Source organism: Homo sapiens, chromosome 19 (assembly GCF_000001405.40).
Source record: "Homo sapiens chromosome 19, GRCh38.p14 Primary Assembly".
Taxonomy (NCBI): Eukaryota; Metazoa; Chordata; class Mammalia; order Primates; family Hominidae; genus Homo; species Homo sapiens.
Window position 1 is genome coordinate 49130172 of NC_000019.10, and position 14774 is coordinate 49144945.

At 54.0% G+C, this 14774-nt stretch overlaps 1 protein-coding gene across 7 annotated transcripts in view, besides 3 other annotated features; it reads left to right on the top strand.

Annotated features, from left to right (window-relative positions):
- The window catches only part of PPFIA3 (PPFI scaffold protein A3), a 31483-nt gene that overhangs the window by 10628 nt on the left and 6081 nt on the right, over positions 1-14774 (top strand). For 6 of the 7 annotated variants that reach the window (XR_007067023.1, XR_007067024.1, XM_047439582.1 and 3 more), the window contains exons 7-21: positions 207-428; positions 2830-2976; positions 3066-3200; positions 3625-3708; positions 3863-3994; positions 4468-4530; positions 4665-4744; positions 5608-5752; positions 6553-6740; positions 8034-8256; positions 9497-9660; positions 9790-9917; positions 11249-11342; positions 11863-11944; positions 12633-12833. Coding sequence is in view for 4 of the 7 variants with exons in the window: in XM_047439582.1 (XP_047295538.1) it covers positions 207-428; positions 2830-2976; positions 3066-3200; positions 3625-3708; positions 3863-3994; positions 4468-4530; positions 4665-4744; positions 5608-5752; positions 6553-6740; positions 8034-8256; positions 9497-9660; positions 9790-9917; positions 11249-11342; positions 11863-11944; positions 12633-12833 (2088 nt within the window). In the remaining 3 variants the exon portion in view is untranslated. The remainder of the gene's footprint in view (positions 1-206; positions 429-2829; positions 2977-3065; positions 3201-3624; positions 3709-3862; positions 3995-4467; positions 4531-4664; positions 4745-5607; positions 5753-6552; positions 6741-8033; positions 8257-9496; positions 9661-9789; positions 9918-11248; positions 11343-11862; positions 11945-12632; positions 12834-14774) is intronic. The other variant, NR_103842.2, reaches the window with a different exon arrangement.
- Positions 2459-3103: an enhancer, noted in NCBI's record as "H3K4me1 hESC enhancer chr19:49635887-49636531 (GRCh37/hg19 assembly coordinates)". NCBI's record gives its function as "activates a minimal SCP1, AML or CMV promoter by ChIP-STARR-seq in naive H9 embryonic stem cells {active_cell/tissue: H9 hESC(naive)}" and the evidence as "EXISTENCE:reporter gene assay evidence [ECO:0000049][PMID:30033119]".
- Positions 6651-7157: an enhancer, noted in NCBI's record as "H3K4me1 hESC enhancer chr19:49640079-49640585 (GRCh37/hg19 assembly coordinates)". NCBI's record gives its function as "activates a minimal SCP1, AML or CMV promoter by ChIP-STARR-seq in primed H9 embryonic stem cells {active_cell/tissue: H9 hESC(primed)}" and the evidence as "EXISTENCE:reporter gene assay evidence [ECO:0000049][PMID:30033119]".
- Positions 11481-12074: an enhancer, noted in NCBI's record as "H3K4me1 hESC enhancer chr19:49644909-49645502 (GRCh37/hg19 assembly coordinates)". NCBI's record gives its function as "activates a minimal SCP1, AML or CMV promoter by ChIP-STARR-seq in primed H9 embryonic stem cells {active_cell/tissue: H9 hESC(primed)}" and the evidence as "EXISTENCE:reporter gene assay evidence [ECO:0000049][PMID:30033119]".

Genomic DNA, 14774 nt, shown 5'->3' on the forward strand with positions numbered 1-14774 from the left:
ACCTGTAAGAGTGTCACAGAGCTTGGACCTCTGATTCAGGTCACCTAGCGAACTTCTGTGACCTCCTTCACTGACCCCCGTGGACTCTGACCAGCATGATCCTTATTGATCTTTGATCTACTTTCAGCTGATTGACTTTCTCCTTGGATTTCCTCTGTGTCTCCGGAGACACTCTGGGATCTTGTCCCCTCCTTCCCTCACTCCAGACTCTTGCCAATGGCCTGGGTCCTGGCGGGGATTCCAACCGGCGCACAGCAGAGCTGGAGGAGGCCCTGGAGCGGCAGCGCGCCGAGGTGTGCCAGCTGCGGGAGCGCCTGGCGGTGCTGTGCCGTCAGATGAGCCAGCTGGAGGAGGAGTTGGGCACCGCGCACCGTGAGCTGGGCAAGGCAGAGGAAGCCAACTCCAAGCTGCAGCGCGACCTCAAGGAGGTGAGGCCCCCAGGGAGGCGGGCTGCCCTGGGTCCCTCGCCTTTCCGTAGAGCTCTCCCTCGCGCATTGCTCATGAATGGCGGAACCTCGATTCAGTCCACAGGCTGGGTGACTCCTCTTTGAGATTCAGTTTTCCCACCTGTGAAAGGAAATGTATGATTCTCATCAGAGGGTGAGCCTGTGGCGCAGAGTAGGCGCTCCATAACTGCTCGTAATTACTTTGTTACCTAACTTTGGGTTCTTCTCTGGTGCCTCTAAATGGATTTTTTTTTTCTTTTGTGAGGCAGAGTCTGGCTGTGTCGCCCAGGCTGGAGTGCAGTGGCGTGATCTTGGCTTACTGCCACCTCTGCCTCCCGGGTTCAAGAGATTCTCCTGCCTCAGCCTCCCAAGTAGCTAGAACTACAGGCACCTGCCACCATGCACCGCTAATTTTTTTTTTTTTTTTTGTATTTTTAGTAGAGATGGGGTTTCACTATGTTGGCCAGGCTAGTCTTGAACTCTTGATCCGCCCACCTCGGCCTCCCAAAGTGTTGGGATTACAGTAGTGAGCCACCGCACCCAGCCTCTTTTTTTTTTTTTTTTTTTTTGAGATGGAGTCTAGCTGTGTCGCCCAGGCTGGAGTGCAGTGTCGGGATCTTGGCTCACTGCAACCTCTGCCTCCCAGGTTCAAGCGATTCTCCTGCCTCAGCCTCCCTAGTAGCTGGGACTACAGGTGTGCACCACCACACCTGGCTAATTTTTTTTTTTTTTTTTTTTTGTATCTTCAGTAGAAATGGGGTTTCACTATATTGGCCAGGCTGGTCTCGAACTCCTGACCTCAAGTGATCAGCTCGCCTCGGCCCAAAGTGCTGGGATTACAGGTGTGAGCCACTGCGTCCAGCCTCTAAATGGAATGTTTTGTGGGTATTTCACCCCTTTCTGGCTTAGGCCGCTTTATCCTAATCCCAGTGACCCCAGGGAGCTGCTGGGAAATGTGGACCTGGATTCTTGAAGGCAGTGGATGAGAAAGAAGAGTGAGCACTAGGACTAGCCTGGGCAACATAGCGAGACCCCGTCACTACTTAAAAAAAAAATTAGCCGGGCGTGGTGGTGGGTGCCTTTAGTCCCAGCCACTAGAGAGGCTGAGGCATGCCAGGTGCGGTGGTTCACGCCTGTAATCCCAGCACTTTGGGAGGCCGAGGCGGGCGGATCACGAGGTCAGGAGATCAAGACCATCCTGGCTAACTCAGTGAAACCCCGTCTCCACTAAAAATACAAAAAATTAGCCGGGCGTGATGTCGGGCGCCCGTAGTCCCAGCTACTCGGGAGGCTGAGGCAGGAGAATGGCGTGAACCCGGGAGGCAGAGCTTGCAGTGAGCCGAGATAGTGCCACTGCACTCCAGCCCGGGCAACAGAGCGAGACTCCGTCTCAAAAAAAAAAAAAAAAAAAAAGTTGAGGCATAAGAATCACTTGAGCTTGGGAGGTGGAAGTTGCAGTAAGCCGAGATCCGTACCACTGCACTCCAGCCAGAGTGCTGGTTGCTCATGCCTGTAATCCCAGCACTTTGGGAGACCAAGGCAGGCACATCACCTGAGGTCAGGAGTTCAAGACTAGCCTGGCCAACATCGTGAAACCCCCGTCTCTACTGAAAATACAAAAATTAGCCAGGCATGGCAGCGGGTGCCTGTAATCCCAGCTACTTGAGAGGTTGAGGCAGGAGAATCGTTTGAACCCAGGAGGTGGAGGTTGCAGTGAGCCGAGATCGCACCACTGCACTCTAGCCTGGGTGACGGAGCAAGACTCTCTCTCTCAAAAAAAAAAAAAAAAAAAAAAAAAAAAAAGAAAGAGAGAGAGAGAACCTTCATCTGGGATTTTAAGCCTGGATAGCCGCAGGGGCTATTGGGAAATGTAGCCCCACCACGTGGGCTACCAGATGAGGGTCCATCTCCCATAAGAAGTTGAAGCACTTCTTTTGGGGTTCTAGGCCTCTGGTACCCTGGTAGCTCTTGAGAGGTGTTGCCTTCTAGGTAGAAGGGATCCTTATTTCCCATGAGACCCCAGGACACTTGCTGTTTGATTCTAAGTCTGCTCTATGCCAGAAATTAGTGAGAAATCCAAGGCCTGGGTTTTGAGGAGAGGGCTGGAGTGGAGACTTCACATCCCACAGGCCTCAGATCCTCTGAACCTGGAGGATCTGAGCCTGCAGTGTCCTAGAAGCTCATGGGAGGTGTAGCATCACCATTTTAACTCGCAGGTAGGTGGCAGGGACTTAAGATGGGCTAGTCCTGGGAGCTCTTAGCGGGTGTGACACCACCATTCTGACTCCCATGTCAGGGCACTTTGTTTCCCAGGGAACAAGGGGGTTCCCCGTCCTCTCCCCCAGGGGCTCGCAGTCCACGGGGCCCTTTGCTACCTCCGCAGGCGCTGGCGCAGCGGGAAGATATGGAGGAGCGGATTACAACACTGGAGAAGCGCTACCTGAGCGCCCAGCGGGAGGCCACGTCTCTGCACGACGCCAACGACAAACTGGAGAACGAGTTAGCTAGCAAGGAGTCGTTGTATCGGCAGGTGGGGGCGCGGCCGGGAGGGGCGATGGGGGCGGTGCCGGGGCCCAAGTGACCCAGCCCGTCCCCTCCCCCTGCCTCTCCCTCCCCCAGAGTGAAGAGAAGAGCCGTCAGCTGGCCGAGTGGTTGGACGACGCCAAGCAGAAGCTGCAGCAGACGCTGCAGAAAGCGGAGACCTTGCCCGAGATAGAGGCGCAGCTGGCGCAGCGCGTGGCGGCGCTCAACAAGGTGCGGGGAGGACTCGGGTCGGGGCCTTGCGTGGGGAAGGGGTGGGGCCTAGAGGAGGCGGGGCCGTGAATCTGGAGGGGTAGGAGCGAGGTCAGAACCCCGGATTTGGGGGAAAGGGTGGGGCCTAGGGGCTGGGAAAGGGACAGGACTTGGAATGGGGAGGGCCTGGAGGTTTGCGCGGGGGACGGATGGGAGCGGGGTTCTCTAGCCTGGACTGAAAGGACCGGTGGCCTGGAACCTGAGAGGGAAGGAACAGGTCCTGAAAAAGTGGACTAGGCGCAGGGGCGGGGCCTGACTCAAAGGTGCAGGGGAGGAGCCTGGCGCTGTGGGGGCGGAGCCTGGCGCTCAGCCTTGGAGGAGGTGGGGCTGGGAGCCTGACTGATCCTGGAAGGGTAAGTCACACGCCATGGGTTCCATCTCCTAGGCCGAGGAACGTCATGGGAATTTTGAGGAGCGGCTTCGGCAGCTGGAGGCCCAGCTGGAAGAGAAGAATCAAGAGCTGCAGCGGGTGAGGGGGCGGAAGACTGCACAGAGGGTGGGGCTTCGAGGCTGGGGCGGAGCTTAATAAGGAGGCTGGGCTGGGCCCGGGGGTGGGGCTTAGAGGAAGGGCCGTGGTCTGGGCAGGGTGGGCTTAACAACCCGCCCCGCTCTGCTTTGCGCAGGCCCGGCAGCGGGAGAAGATGAACGATGACCACAATAAGCGGCTGTCCGAGACGGTGGACAAGCTGCTGAGCGAGTCCAACGAGCGCTTACAGCTTCACCTCAAGGAGCGCATGGGGGCGCTGGAGGAGAAGGTGCGCCCCCCATACAGGACTGCGGGACGCGGAATTCCGGGACTACCTCTTGCTGGAATCCTGGGGCCCCAGGCCTTTCCCTCAGATCTGTTATCGGAGGCCTCCCTAAACCCCGGCATCCTGAGTTGGGCAGCCTTCTCTGCTCTATTGCCCAGACCGCTTTTTCACCTATTCTAGACGTTCCAAGAGCCGAATTCTGGGGCACCCATGCCTCGAGTCCTTGACTTTTCCCAAAGCCTCCAACCCCATGGGTCTCCAAACCCTGAACCCTCTGAGATTGCACAGGACGTCGCATCCCGGGGCTTCTCTCCCCAGAAACATCGTTGCCCCTGCTCCCCCGAAACTCACCACTTGTGTCCATCTCATTCCTCCTGGGTCCCCTCAGGCCTGTCTGTGTGCACTGGGAGCTGCCTGCAGCCCCACGGGCGTGGCCCCTCAGGCCTCACTCCCTCACTTCACCTCTGTCTCCACAGAACTCCCTGAGCGAGGAGATAGCCAACATGAAGAAGCTTCAGGATGAGTTGCTGCTAAACAAGGTAGGGGGCCCTGAGGGGACAGGAGGAGGATGTTGGGGCAGTGGTTGCTGAGGCTAGGGTCTGCAAGTCTGGCAGGGGCTGTTCCTCCTGGGCGGAGCAGATTCTAACCCGACACCTCCAACACCGGCCCCCAGGAGCAGCTCTTGGCCGAAATGGAGCGGATGCAGATGGAGATCGACCAGCTGCGGGGGAGGCCACCATCCTCCTACTCCAGGTGACAGCAGCCCTTCTGCCCTGCCCCCACCATGGAGCCCCGTTGGCCAAGCGCCAAGCTCCTCCCTTCTGATCCCCACTTCCTGTCCTCCTGAGACTTCTGACCCCTCTGTTTTTGTTTTTTGTTTGTTTGTTTGTTTGTTTTGAGACAGAGTCTCACTCTGTCGCCCAGGCTGGAATGCAGTGGCACGATTCCGGCTCACTGCAACCTCCACCTCCTGAGTTCAAGCGATTCTCGTGCCTCAGCCTCCCAAGTAGCTGGGACTACAGGCGTGCACCACCACAGCCGGCTAATTTTTGTAGTTTTAGTAGACACGGGGTTTTGCCATGTTGGCCAGGCTGGTCTGGAACCCCAGGCCTCAAGTGATCCTCCCCCCTCGGCCTCCCAAAGTGCTGGGATTACAGGTGTGAGCCACTGTGCTCAGCCCACTCTGGTTTTTTACCCTGACTTTATTTATTTATTTTTTCTTTCTTTTGAGACAGAGTCTCACTCTGCTGCCTGGGCTAGAGTGCAGTGGCATGATCTCAGCTCACTGCAACCTCCGCCTCCCCGGTTCAAGTGATTCTCCTGCCTCAGCCTCTAGAGTGGCAGGGATTACAGGAGCCCACCACCACATCCAGCTAATTTTTTTTATTTTTAGTAGAGACAGGGCTTCACCAGGTTGGCCTGGTCTCAAACTCCTGACCTCAAGTTATCTGCCCACCTCAGCCTCCCAAAGTGCTGGGATTGCAGGCTTGAGCCACCAGGCCTGGCCCCTTGACCTTGACTTCAGGACCCCTGGCCCTAGGTCTGTCTCTGTGACCCTTACCTCTGTGCTCTTTTCCTGACCCCTTGGTCTCTGACTGCTTTCCTCATGCCCACAGGTCTCTCCCTGGCAGTGCCCTGGAGCTCCGTTACTCTCAGGCACCCACTTTACCTTCTGGTGCCCACCTGGATCCCTATGTGGCTGGCAGTGGTCGGGCAGGCAAGAGGGGCCGCTGGTCAGGGGTCAAGGAGGAGCCCTCCAAGGTCAGCAGCTGCCTCTGGGTCCTGGACTGAGCAGGGCTTGGGCGGGCAGCTGTAGGAAGTGGAACTAAATCTGTGGGGCTCCGGGAGGAAGCTGGGTTGAGAGGCAGGATCTCTTGGACTCATCCACTCACCCTTTCTTCTCTCCTTCCCTGCAACCCTCTTGCCTGGATGTCTCCTCCTGTGGATGTCCTGCCACCTGGTGAGAACCTGAGAGTAATCATGGGACAGGGAGGGGTGTGTAGAATCCCAGAGTAGGTGGGGTTAGGTGAGGAACAGGAGCCAGCTGAGTCATGGGAATCAGGGGCGGGGGTGGAGTCATGGGTGTGGGCGTGGCTTGGAGAGGATTTGGGGAGGGATCAAGAACAGGGACCTGTCAAGAGAGGAAGTTGGAGGCCGGGCAGGGTGGCCCATGCCTGTAATCCCAACACTTGCTGGCGCCGAGGCAGGCAGATCACTTGAGGTCAGGAGTTCGACAGCAGCCTTGCCAAAATGGCATCGCTACTAAAAATGCAAAAATTAGCCGGGCGTGGTAGCGGGCGCCTGTAATCCCAGCTACTCAGGAGACTGAGGCAGAAGAATCGTTCGAACCTGGGAGGCGTAACCCGAGATTGCGCCACTGCACTCCAGCCTGGGCGACAGAATGAGACTCTGTCTCAAGAAAAAATAAATAAAATAAAAAAAATAAAGCTGGGCTGGGAAAAGCATCAGTGAGGTCGGGCAAGTCAGGATCATGAGCCAAGACCCAGCGCCAACCTCGGCCCCCAGCCACCTAATGTCCCTCTGTCCCCACACAGGGATAGGATTGGGAGCGGTCTGCCCCTGCGGGCTCCATACCACCCCCATTCCCTGGGGAACTGGACGGCTCCGATGAGGAGGAGGCAGAGGGGATGTTTGGGGCCGAGCTGCTGTCCCCCAGTGGGCAGGCTGACGTGCAGACGCTGGCCATCATGCTTCAGGAGCAGCTGGAGGCCATCAACAAGGAGATCAAGTGAGCCCTGGCCCCGCCCCGGCCTGCCCTGCCCTGCCGGAGCTGACTCCACAGCCCTTCTGGCTCTGGAGGCCTGAAAGCCTGAGTCCGTCTCCTCTTACACCATCCACAAGGAATTCTTCCAGCCCAACACTCACTCCGCTGTCCAGGCATCCCCTAGGATACACTCAGAAGTCTTCTATGTGCTACCTACACATATACCCCCCAGCCAGTACTCACCATTCCCCAACACACCAAAGCCTGCATCCCCAAATAGCCCAGTTCCTCTTGATGCATCAAGAATCTTCCATTACGCCATCGATTTTGTGGTTTCACATAACCAGTGCCCAGAGTCTCCCACTACCCTAGGAATCTCAAGACAACACAAGGTTCCCAACCTCAAACACCAAGAATCTCATCCTAACATGCTAATCAAAAACTTCAACTCCAGGCTGGGCACAGTGGCTCACGCCTGTAATCCCAGCACTTTGGGAGGCTGAGGCCAGCGGATCATGAGGTCATGAGGTCAGGAGATAGAGACCATCCTGGCTAACATGGTGAAAACCTGTCTCTACTAAAAATGCAAAAAATTAGCCAGGCATGGTGGCAGGCGCCCGTAGTCCCAGCTACTCAGGAGGCTGAGGCAGGAGAATGGCATGAACCCGGGAGGCGGAGCTTGCAGTGAGCCGAGATAGTGCCATGCACTCCAGCCTGGGCTACAGAGCGAGACTCCGTGTCAAAAAAAAAAAAAAAAAAAAAAAAAAAAAAGTCCCCAACTTATTAAGAAGCCCCCAGTGATGTAAAGTCTACCCTGATTCACCAGCAATGGCCATATTCAGCAATTCTCTTATAATGTACTCCCCATGAGCCTTCGGCAAATATACCATGACCACCACTTTCCATACCAAATGAGTCCATGCCCTTCCCAGATCCTAGATTGGCCTGAGTCCCTGATCTCACAATGCTCCTATTATGACCTTGCTCTTACAGGCCACCTTGAACTTGACCTTTTGTCCATAGTAATCCCTTCATGATTTTCCAAACCCCTTGACTATCATCAGGGCCACCCTGATACAAACCCCAATCACCTTGATAGCCCTAATCCTGCAATGACTTCCTGAGACTCTCAGGACCCCTTGACTCTCCTTGAGCCTGGAAGGCCTTCAGAAACCCACCAAAGTCCTCTGACGTCATTGCACCGTCCCCAGAATTCCCATTGCCCCACCAGGCCTTTCTGGCCCATTGTGCTCCCAGATTCCCTCTCCCGCTGTCTGCTGCGGCCCCTCACCCAGTTTCCCCTATTTCCCTCCTCAGGCTGATCCAAGAGGAGAAGGAGACAACAGAACAGAGGGCAGAGGAGCTGGAGAGTCGGGTGTCCAGCTCTGGCTTGGACTCGTTGGGCCGCTACCGCAGCAGCTGCTCCCTGCCCCCCTCCCTCACCACCTCTACCCTTGCCAGCCCCTCCCCTCCCAGCTCTGGCCACTCAACACCCCGCCTGGCACCCCCTAGCCCTGCCCGTGAGGGCACCGACAAGGCTGTGAGTGCTCTGAAGTCTCCCCAGCCTAGTAGGGGGATGGGGAGAGGTCAGAGGCAGGGCTCCCCAGTGTACAGCAACAATAACCCCTCACACCAGTGGTTTTCCAAAGCAACCTCAGCTTTCCCTAAAGGTTCAAACTCAAAGGGCAAAGGGGAGGCTGAGTCACTGGGATCTTGAACCCTAACTTTCACTTTAGTCAGATCTGGTCTACTTTTATTTCTCATGCGTCAAGTTTCTGCATAGGATTTTAAAAAGTTTCTGGCTGGGTGCGGTGGCTCACGCCTGTAATCCCAGCACTTCGGGAGGCCAAGGTGGGCAGATCACTTGAGGTCAGGAGTTCGAGACCCACCTGGCCAACATGGTGAAACCCCCACCTCTACTAAAAATACAAAAATTAGCCTGGCCTGGTGGCACGTGCCTGTAATTCCAGTTACTCGGGAGGCTGATGCAGGAGAATCAATTGAACCCAAGAGGCAGAGTTTGCAGTGAGTTGAAATTGTGCCACTGCACTCCAACCTGGGAGACAGAGTGAAACTGTGTCTCAAAAAAAAAAAAAGTTTCTGTGACAACATGCATTGGAGAACTACAAATTAGATCCTCAGAATTGACCTTTGAGGGAGACAAAGAGATATTGGCCCTATTTTACTCCCTTAAATTCAGCTTTCCTGCTTCCAGAACCTGTAACTCATTAGCTTTCTTTGAGGCCTGACCAACATGGTGAAACCCCATCTCTACTAAAAATACAAAATTATCCGTGTATGGTGGTGTGGGCCTGTAGTCCCAGCTTCTTGGGAGGCTGAGGCTAAAGAATCACTTAAACCCGGGAGGCAGAGGTTGCAGTGAGCTGAGATCATGCCACTGCACTCCAGCCTGGCGACAGAGCTAGACTCTGTCTCAAAAAAAAAAAAAAAATTACCCGGGCATGGTGGCACATGCCTTTAATCTCAGCTACTTGGGAGGCTGAGGCAGGAGAATCTCTTGAACCTGGGAGGCAGAGGTTGCAGTGAGCCGAGATTGTGCCATTGCACTCCAGCCTGGGCCACAAGAGTGAAACTCCATCTCAAAAAAAAAAAAAAAAAAAAGTTTCTGCAACTCACCCTGACTTGAGCTAGACTACCTTCGTATACTGTGTTCTAAACCAGGGTCACCCCACACACACCTTAGTAGACATCTCAGTTAATAAGGAGCCCCCGACATGACTCTTTGAACTCAATCCAGCATCTGTGCCCTCTGTCCTCAGAATCATGTCCCTAAGGAGGAAGCTGGAGCTCCACGAGGGGAGGGGCCGGCCATCCCAGGAGACACCCCACCACCCACTCCCCGCTCTGCCCGTCTTGAGAGAATGACCCAGGCCTTGGCACTGCAGGCGGGGTCCCTGGAAGATGGGGGACCCCCACGGGGAAGGTCAGCAGGGACAAGGGATAGGGACAGGGAGAAGCTGGCTTGGGAAGATGAGAAGGGGGTGGACAAGGACTTGGGAGGAGAGGGGGCATCTCAGCAAGCATATGCTCTCATTCTCTCCTGCTTTCCCAGTGAGGGCACCCCAGATTCTCTGCACAAAGCCCCCAAGAAGAAGAGCATCAAGTCATCCATAGGCCGTCTCTTTGGCAAGAAAGAGAAGGGACGAATGGGACCCCCAGGCCGGGACAGCTCTTCTCTGGGTGAGTACCTCACTCTAACCCTTCCCTCCTTTGTTCCTTCCTCCCTTCCTCCCTCCCTTTCTTTCTTCTTTGTATGTTCATTTGACATCCATTCATGTCTTCATTCATTTGGTGATTTATTTAGAATTTGGAAGGAACACAGCTTGCCAAGGTAGGCGGGAGGAGGAGGGAAAAGGAAAGGGCACTCTGGGACCTGCTTGGGTGACTGGGTAGGTAAAGGAATTTATTTCCTTTACTTATTTTTTTGTTGTTTTTTGGTTTTTGTTGTTGTTGTTTTGAGATGGAGTTTCACTCTGTCACCCAGGCTGGAGTGCAGTGGCAACGATCTTGGCTCACTGGAACCTCTACCTCCTGGGTTCAAGCGATTCTCCTGCCTCGGCCTCTTGAGCAGCTGGGACTATAGGCGCCCGCCACTATGCCTGGCTAATTTTTTTGTATTTTTAGTAGAGATAGGGTTTCCTCATGTTGGCCAGGCTGGTCTTGAACTCCTGACCTCAGATGATCCACCCACCTCGGCCTCCCAAAGTGCTGGGATTACAGACTCATTTACCTTTTTTTTTTTTTTTTTTTTTTTTTTTTGTTTGGAGACGGAGTCTTGCTCTGTCGCCCAGGCTGGAGTGCAGTGGTGCTATCTCGGCTCACTGCAAGCTCCGCCTCCCAGGTTCATGCCATTCTCCTGCCTCAGCCTCCCCAGTAGCTGGGACTACAGGCGCCCACCACCACGCCCGGCTAACTTTTTGTATTTTCAGTAGAGATGGGGTTTCACCGTGTTAGCCAGGATGGTCTTGATCTCCTGACCTTGTGATCTGCCTGCCTCAGCCTCCCAAAGTGCTGGGATTACAGGTGTGAGCCACCGTGCCCAGCCACCTATTTTTTAAACAGAGGAAGAGGGTGGGGCATCCTCAAAGCAGGGCACCTTCCTGTGGTGTGCTGGAGCCCGCTGGCACTGGCTCAGGAGATCCGCTATTTCAGGAATTGGCTGACATCACACTGGTAGCTTGAAATTGGCCATGGTGGGATTATTTACACCATGGAAATGGGCAAATGCTACAAATCAGGGATTCCCTTCTGCCTCCCCAAGGAGCCGGTTGTTAGGCATTTACCAGCATACAACTGCCACCTTACCAAGGGCATCCCAGTGCATCCAGCCGTATTTTGGGGATGACTCCAATTCATGGGCGCTTGTCTGCCTTTATCACTTCCTCGATGTGCCCTCACTCACTACTCCCTCAGGGCCTCTGCCTTTCCGGCATTTTCCTCATCACCTCCAGCATGAAAGATTCTGCCTCCCCCTTGAGATTTTCCAAATTTCGACCCCTCCCTGCCTCCAGCTGGAACACCCTCAGATGAGACACTGGCCACTGACCCTCTGGGGCTAGCCAAGCTGACAGGCCCAGGAGACAAGGACCGAAGGAACAAGAGGAAGTGAGTGTGTGTGAGTGTGAGCGTGTGTGTGTGTATGTGAATGTGAGAGTGTGTGAGGGTGTGTGTGTGCGTGTATGTGTGTGTATGAGTGTGTGTGTGTGTGAGAGGGTGTGTGAGTGTGTGTGTGCAGCGGTGGTGGTGGTGAACAGAAATGGGAATTCAATGCTGGGAGGAGGTGTCCGTGATCCTGAACTTGCTTGCCTGGAAACCCAGGAGCTCCTAGAGTTTTTATTTTTTCTTTCTTTTTTTAAAAATTTTTTTTGTATTTTTTACATTTATATTATATTTTTTGTTTCTTTTGTTTTTCTTATTTTGTTCTCTCTTTTGATAGGGGTTGGGGGGAGAGGATTTACAGATTCACATGTATTTTTTGACCTTCTGCCGTGTTTTGTACATTCATAAAAGCTGCGTGTGCGTATGTGCATGTGTGTGTGTGTGTATGTGTGCTGATGGGGGCCATCCACAGAGCAGGGGGTCTCCATCCCTGACAGCTTCTATCCTGGCCCCTTCACCCTTACAGGCATGAACTCCTGGAGGAGGCCTGCCGCCAGGGCCTACCTTTTGCTGCCTGGGACGGGCCCACCGTGGTGTCCTGGCTGGAGGTACTGGGGCCCAGAAATGCCCTGACTGTTGGTCCCCAACCCCTCTGACAGCCCCACTGGTAGGGGCTGCCTGGTCCTCCTGGCGCACCCTGCTTCTAGCCCAGAGGTGGGGGTGGCCATGGGCCTGGCAGGTGAGGACCCAGGAGGGCTCGGGCTTCCTGTTCACCTAAACAGTTTCTTTCTCCTTCTCCTTCTGCCCCTGCCACTCTGGCCTTGCCCACCTGGGTCATGGTCTCCTGTCGTTCTCTCTACTCTCTCTTTCTGGATTCTCTGTCTCTATTTTTCGGCACCATTCCCATCTCTGACCACGCTTTTGTCATTCCCCATATTTCTCCTCATGTCTCCGATCGCCCTGCCGATGTCTCCCTGTCTCCGGCTTCCTGTCTCTCCCCACCCTCTATTTCTCTCTCTCTATTTCTTTCTCTCTCTCTCTCTTTCTCTCTCCCTCTCCCTCTTCCCCCACCCGCCCCCCGCCCCCCGTTTCTCTCCCTATTTGTCTCCCTCGGACTCTCCCTCATCTCGTCCACGTCTCTTTTCCTTGTCCTGTTTCTTCTCCTTGCGAACTTTCCCACGTCTCTGTTTCGCTCCCCACCCCCTTGCCTTTCCCCACCTCCCTGTTCCCCCATCTCTCCGATTTTCTCCTCCTCTGTCCCTCTGTCCCCTCTGTCCCTCTGTCCCTCCGCTGCAGCTGTGGGTGGGCATGCCTGCCTGGTATGTGGCCGCCTGCCGGGCCAATGTCAAGAGCGGTGCCATCATGGCCAACCTGTCAGACACGGAGATCCAGCGCGAGATCGGCATCAGCAACCCGCTGCACCGACTCAAGCTACGCCTCGCCATCCAGGAGATGGTCTCGCTCACCTCGCCCTCAGCCCCCGCCTCCTCCCGCACTGTGAGTGTCCGGCGGCCAATTCCAGCCTTCGCTTCCTCAGAGCCCCGCCTCTTGCCCTCAGTCTAGCCAATCCTGGGCCTGCTCACTCCCCTGTCCCACGACCCTGCTTCTCATTGGCTTTTACCCCCCTCAGCCTCCCCTCCACTCCTAACTTGGCCTGTGGTCCGTCCCTGTGGTACTCCAGGAGGGGCCCAGGCCACCTCCTTCCCTGACTCTCTCCCTCTCCTCGGCATTTGCTGTCCCACTCAAATGTCACCACCTCTAAGAAGCTTTCTTTGTCAGCTAAACGAGTTTCCCCATCATTCCGGCATATCAGCACCTTCTAATTTTCCCCATAGCATTTATTGCCTTCTAATTATTTTATCTTTTCTTTCCTTTTTTTTTGGAGACAGAGTTTCGCTCTTGTTGTCCAGGCTGGAGTGCAATGGCGCTATCTCCGCTCACTGCAACCCCTGCCTCCCGGGTTCAAGCCATTCTCCTGTCTCAGCCTCCTGAGTAGCTGGGATTACAGGCGCCCGCCACCACGCCCAGTTAATTTTTGTATTTTTAGTAGAGACAGGGTTTTGACACGTTGGCCAGACTGGTCTTGAACTCCCGACCTCAGGTGATCCGCCCGCCTCGGCCTCCCAAAGTGTTGAGATTACAGGCGTGAGCCCCTACGCCTGGCCCTCGTTCCAACTTTTGATTACGAGACATTTCAAACATACAGAAAATCATGTGTACCCAGTTCAGCGATTCTCAAACTTTTGCTGTACTTGCTCTGTTGTGTGTGTGGGGTGGAGGCGGGGAGTGGGGAGTACAGGTTGAGTGTCCCTTACTTGAAATACGTGGGACCAGAAGTGTTTAGAATTTCTGATTTTAAAAAGTTTTTTTTGAATATTTGCATATAAATGAAATATCTTGGGGATGGGAGCCAAGCCTAAACATGAAATTCATTTATGTTTCATATGCATCTCATACACATGCCTAAAAAGAATTTTATACAATATTTTATTTTTTATTTTTATTTTATTTTTTCGAGATGGGAGTCTTGCTTTGTCGCCAAGGCTGGAGTGCAATGGTGCGACCTCGACTCACTGCAACCTCTGCCTCCTGGGTGCAAGCAATTCCAATCCTCTGCCTCAACCTTCCGAGTAGCTGGGATTATAGGCGCCCACCACCACGCCCTGCTAATTTTTGTATTCTTAGTAGAGATGGGGTTTCACCATCTTGGCCAGGCTGGTCTTGAACTCCTGACCTCGTGATCCACCTGCCTCAGCCTCCCAAAGTGCTGGGATTACAGGCGTGAGCCACCGTGCCCGGCCTACAATATTTTAAATAGCTTTGTGCATGAAACAAAGTTTTGACTGCATTTTGTTTGTGACTTGTCACATGAGGTCAGGTGGGGGATTTTCCTCTTGTGGCTTCGTGTCAGCACGTAAGTTTAGGGCCAAGCACTGTGGCTCACACCTGTAATTCCAGCATTTTGGGAGGCTTTGGATGGCCGATCTCTTGAACCCGGGAGTTCGAGACCAGCCTGGGCAACATGGCAAAACCCCATCTCTACTAAAAATACAAAAATTAGTCGGGTGTGGTGGCGTATACCTGTAGTCCTAGCTACTCAGGAGGCTGAGGTGGGAGGATCCTTTGAGCCCAGGAGGTCGAGGCTGCAGTGAGCTGTGATTGTCCCACTGTACTGCAGCCTGGGTGACAGAGAAAGAGTGCATCCAAAAAAAAAAAAGTTTAGAATTTTGGAGCATTTTGGATTTTGGATTTTCAGGTTGGGGATGCTCAGAGACCTGTACTTGAATGTAATTGGAGAAAGTCATAACATCTTAGCCCCCAAAATTACTTTAGTGGGTCTTTTTCTTCCTTGTAAACACCACATCCTTTATCACACCTAAGGGCATTCACATTGTTGTTAATTTCTTTTTCTTTTCTTTTCTTTCTTTTTTTTTTTTT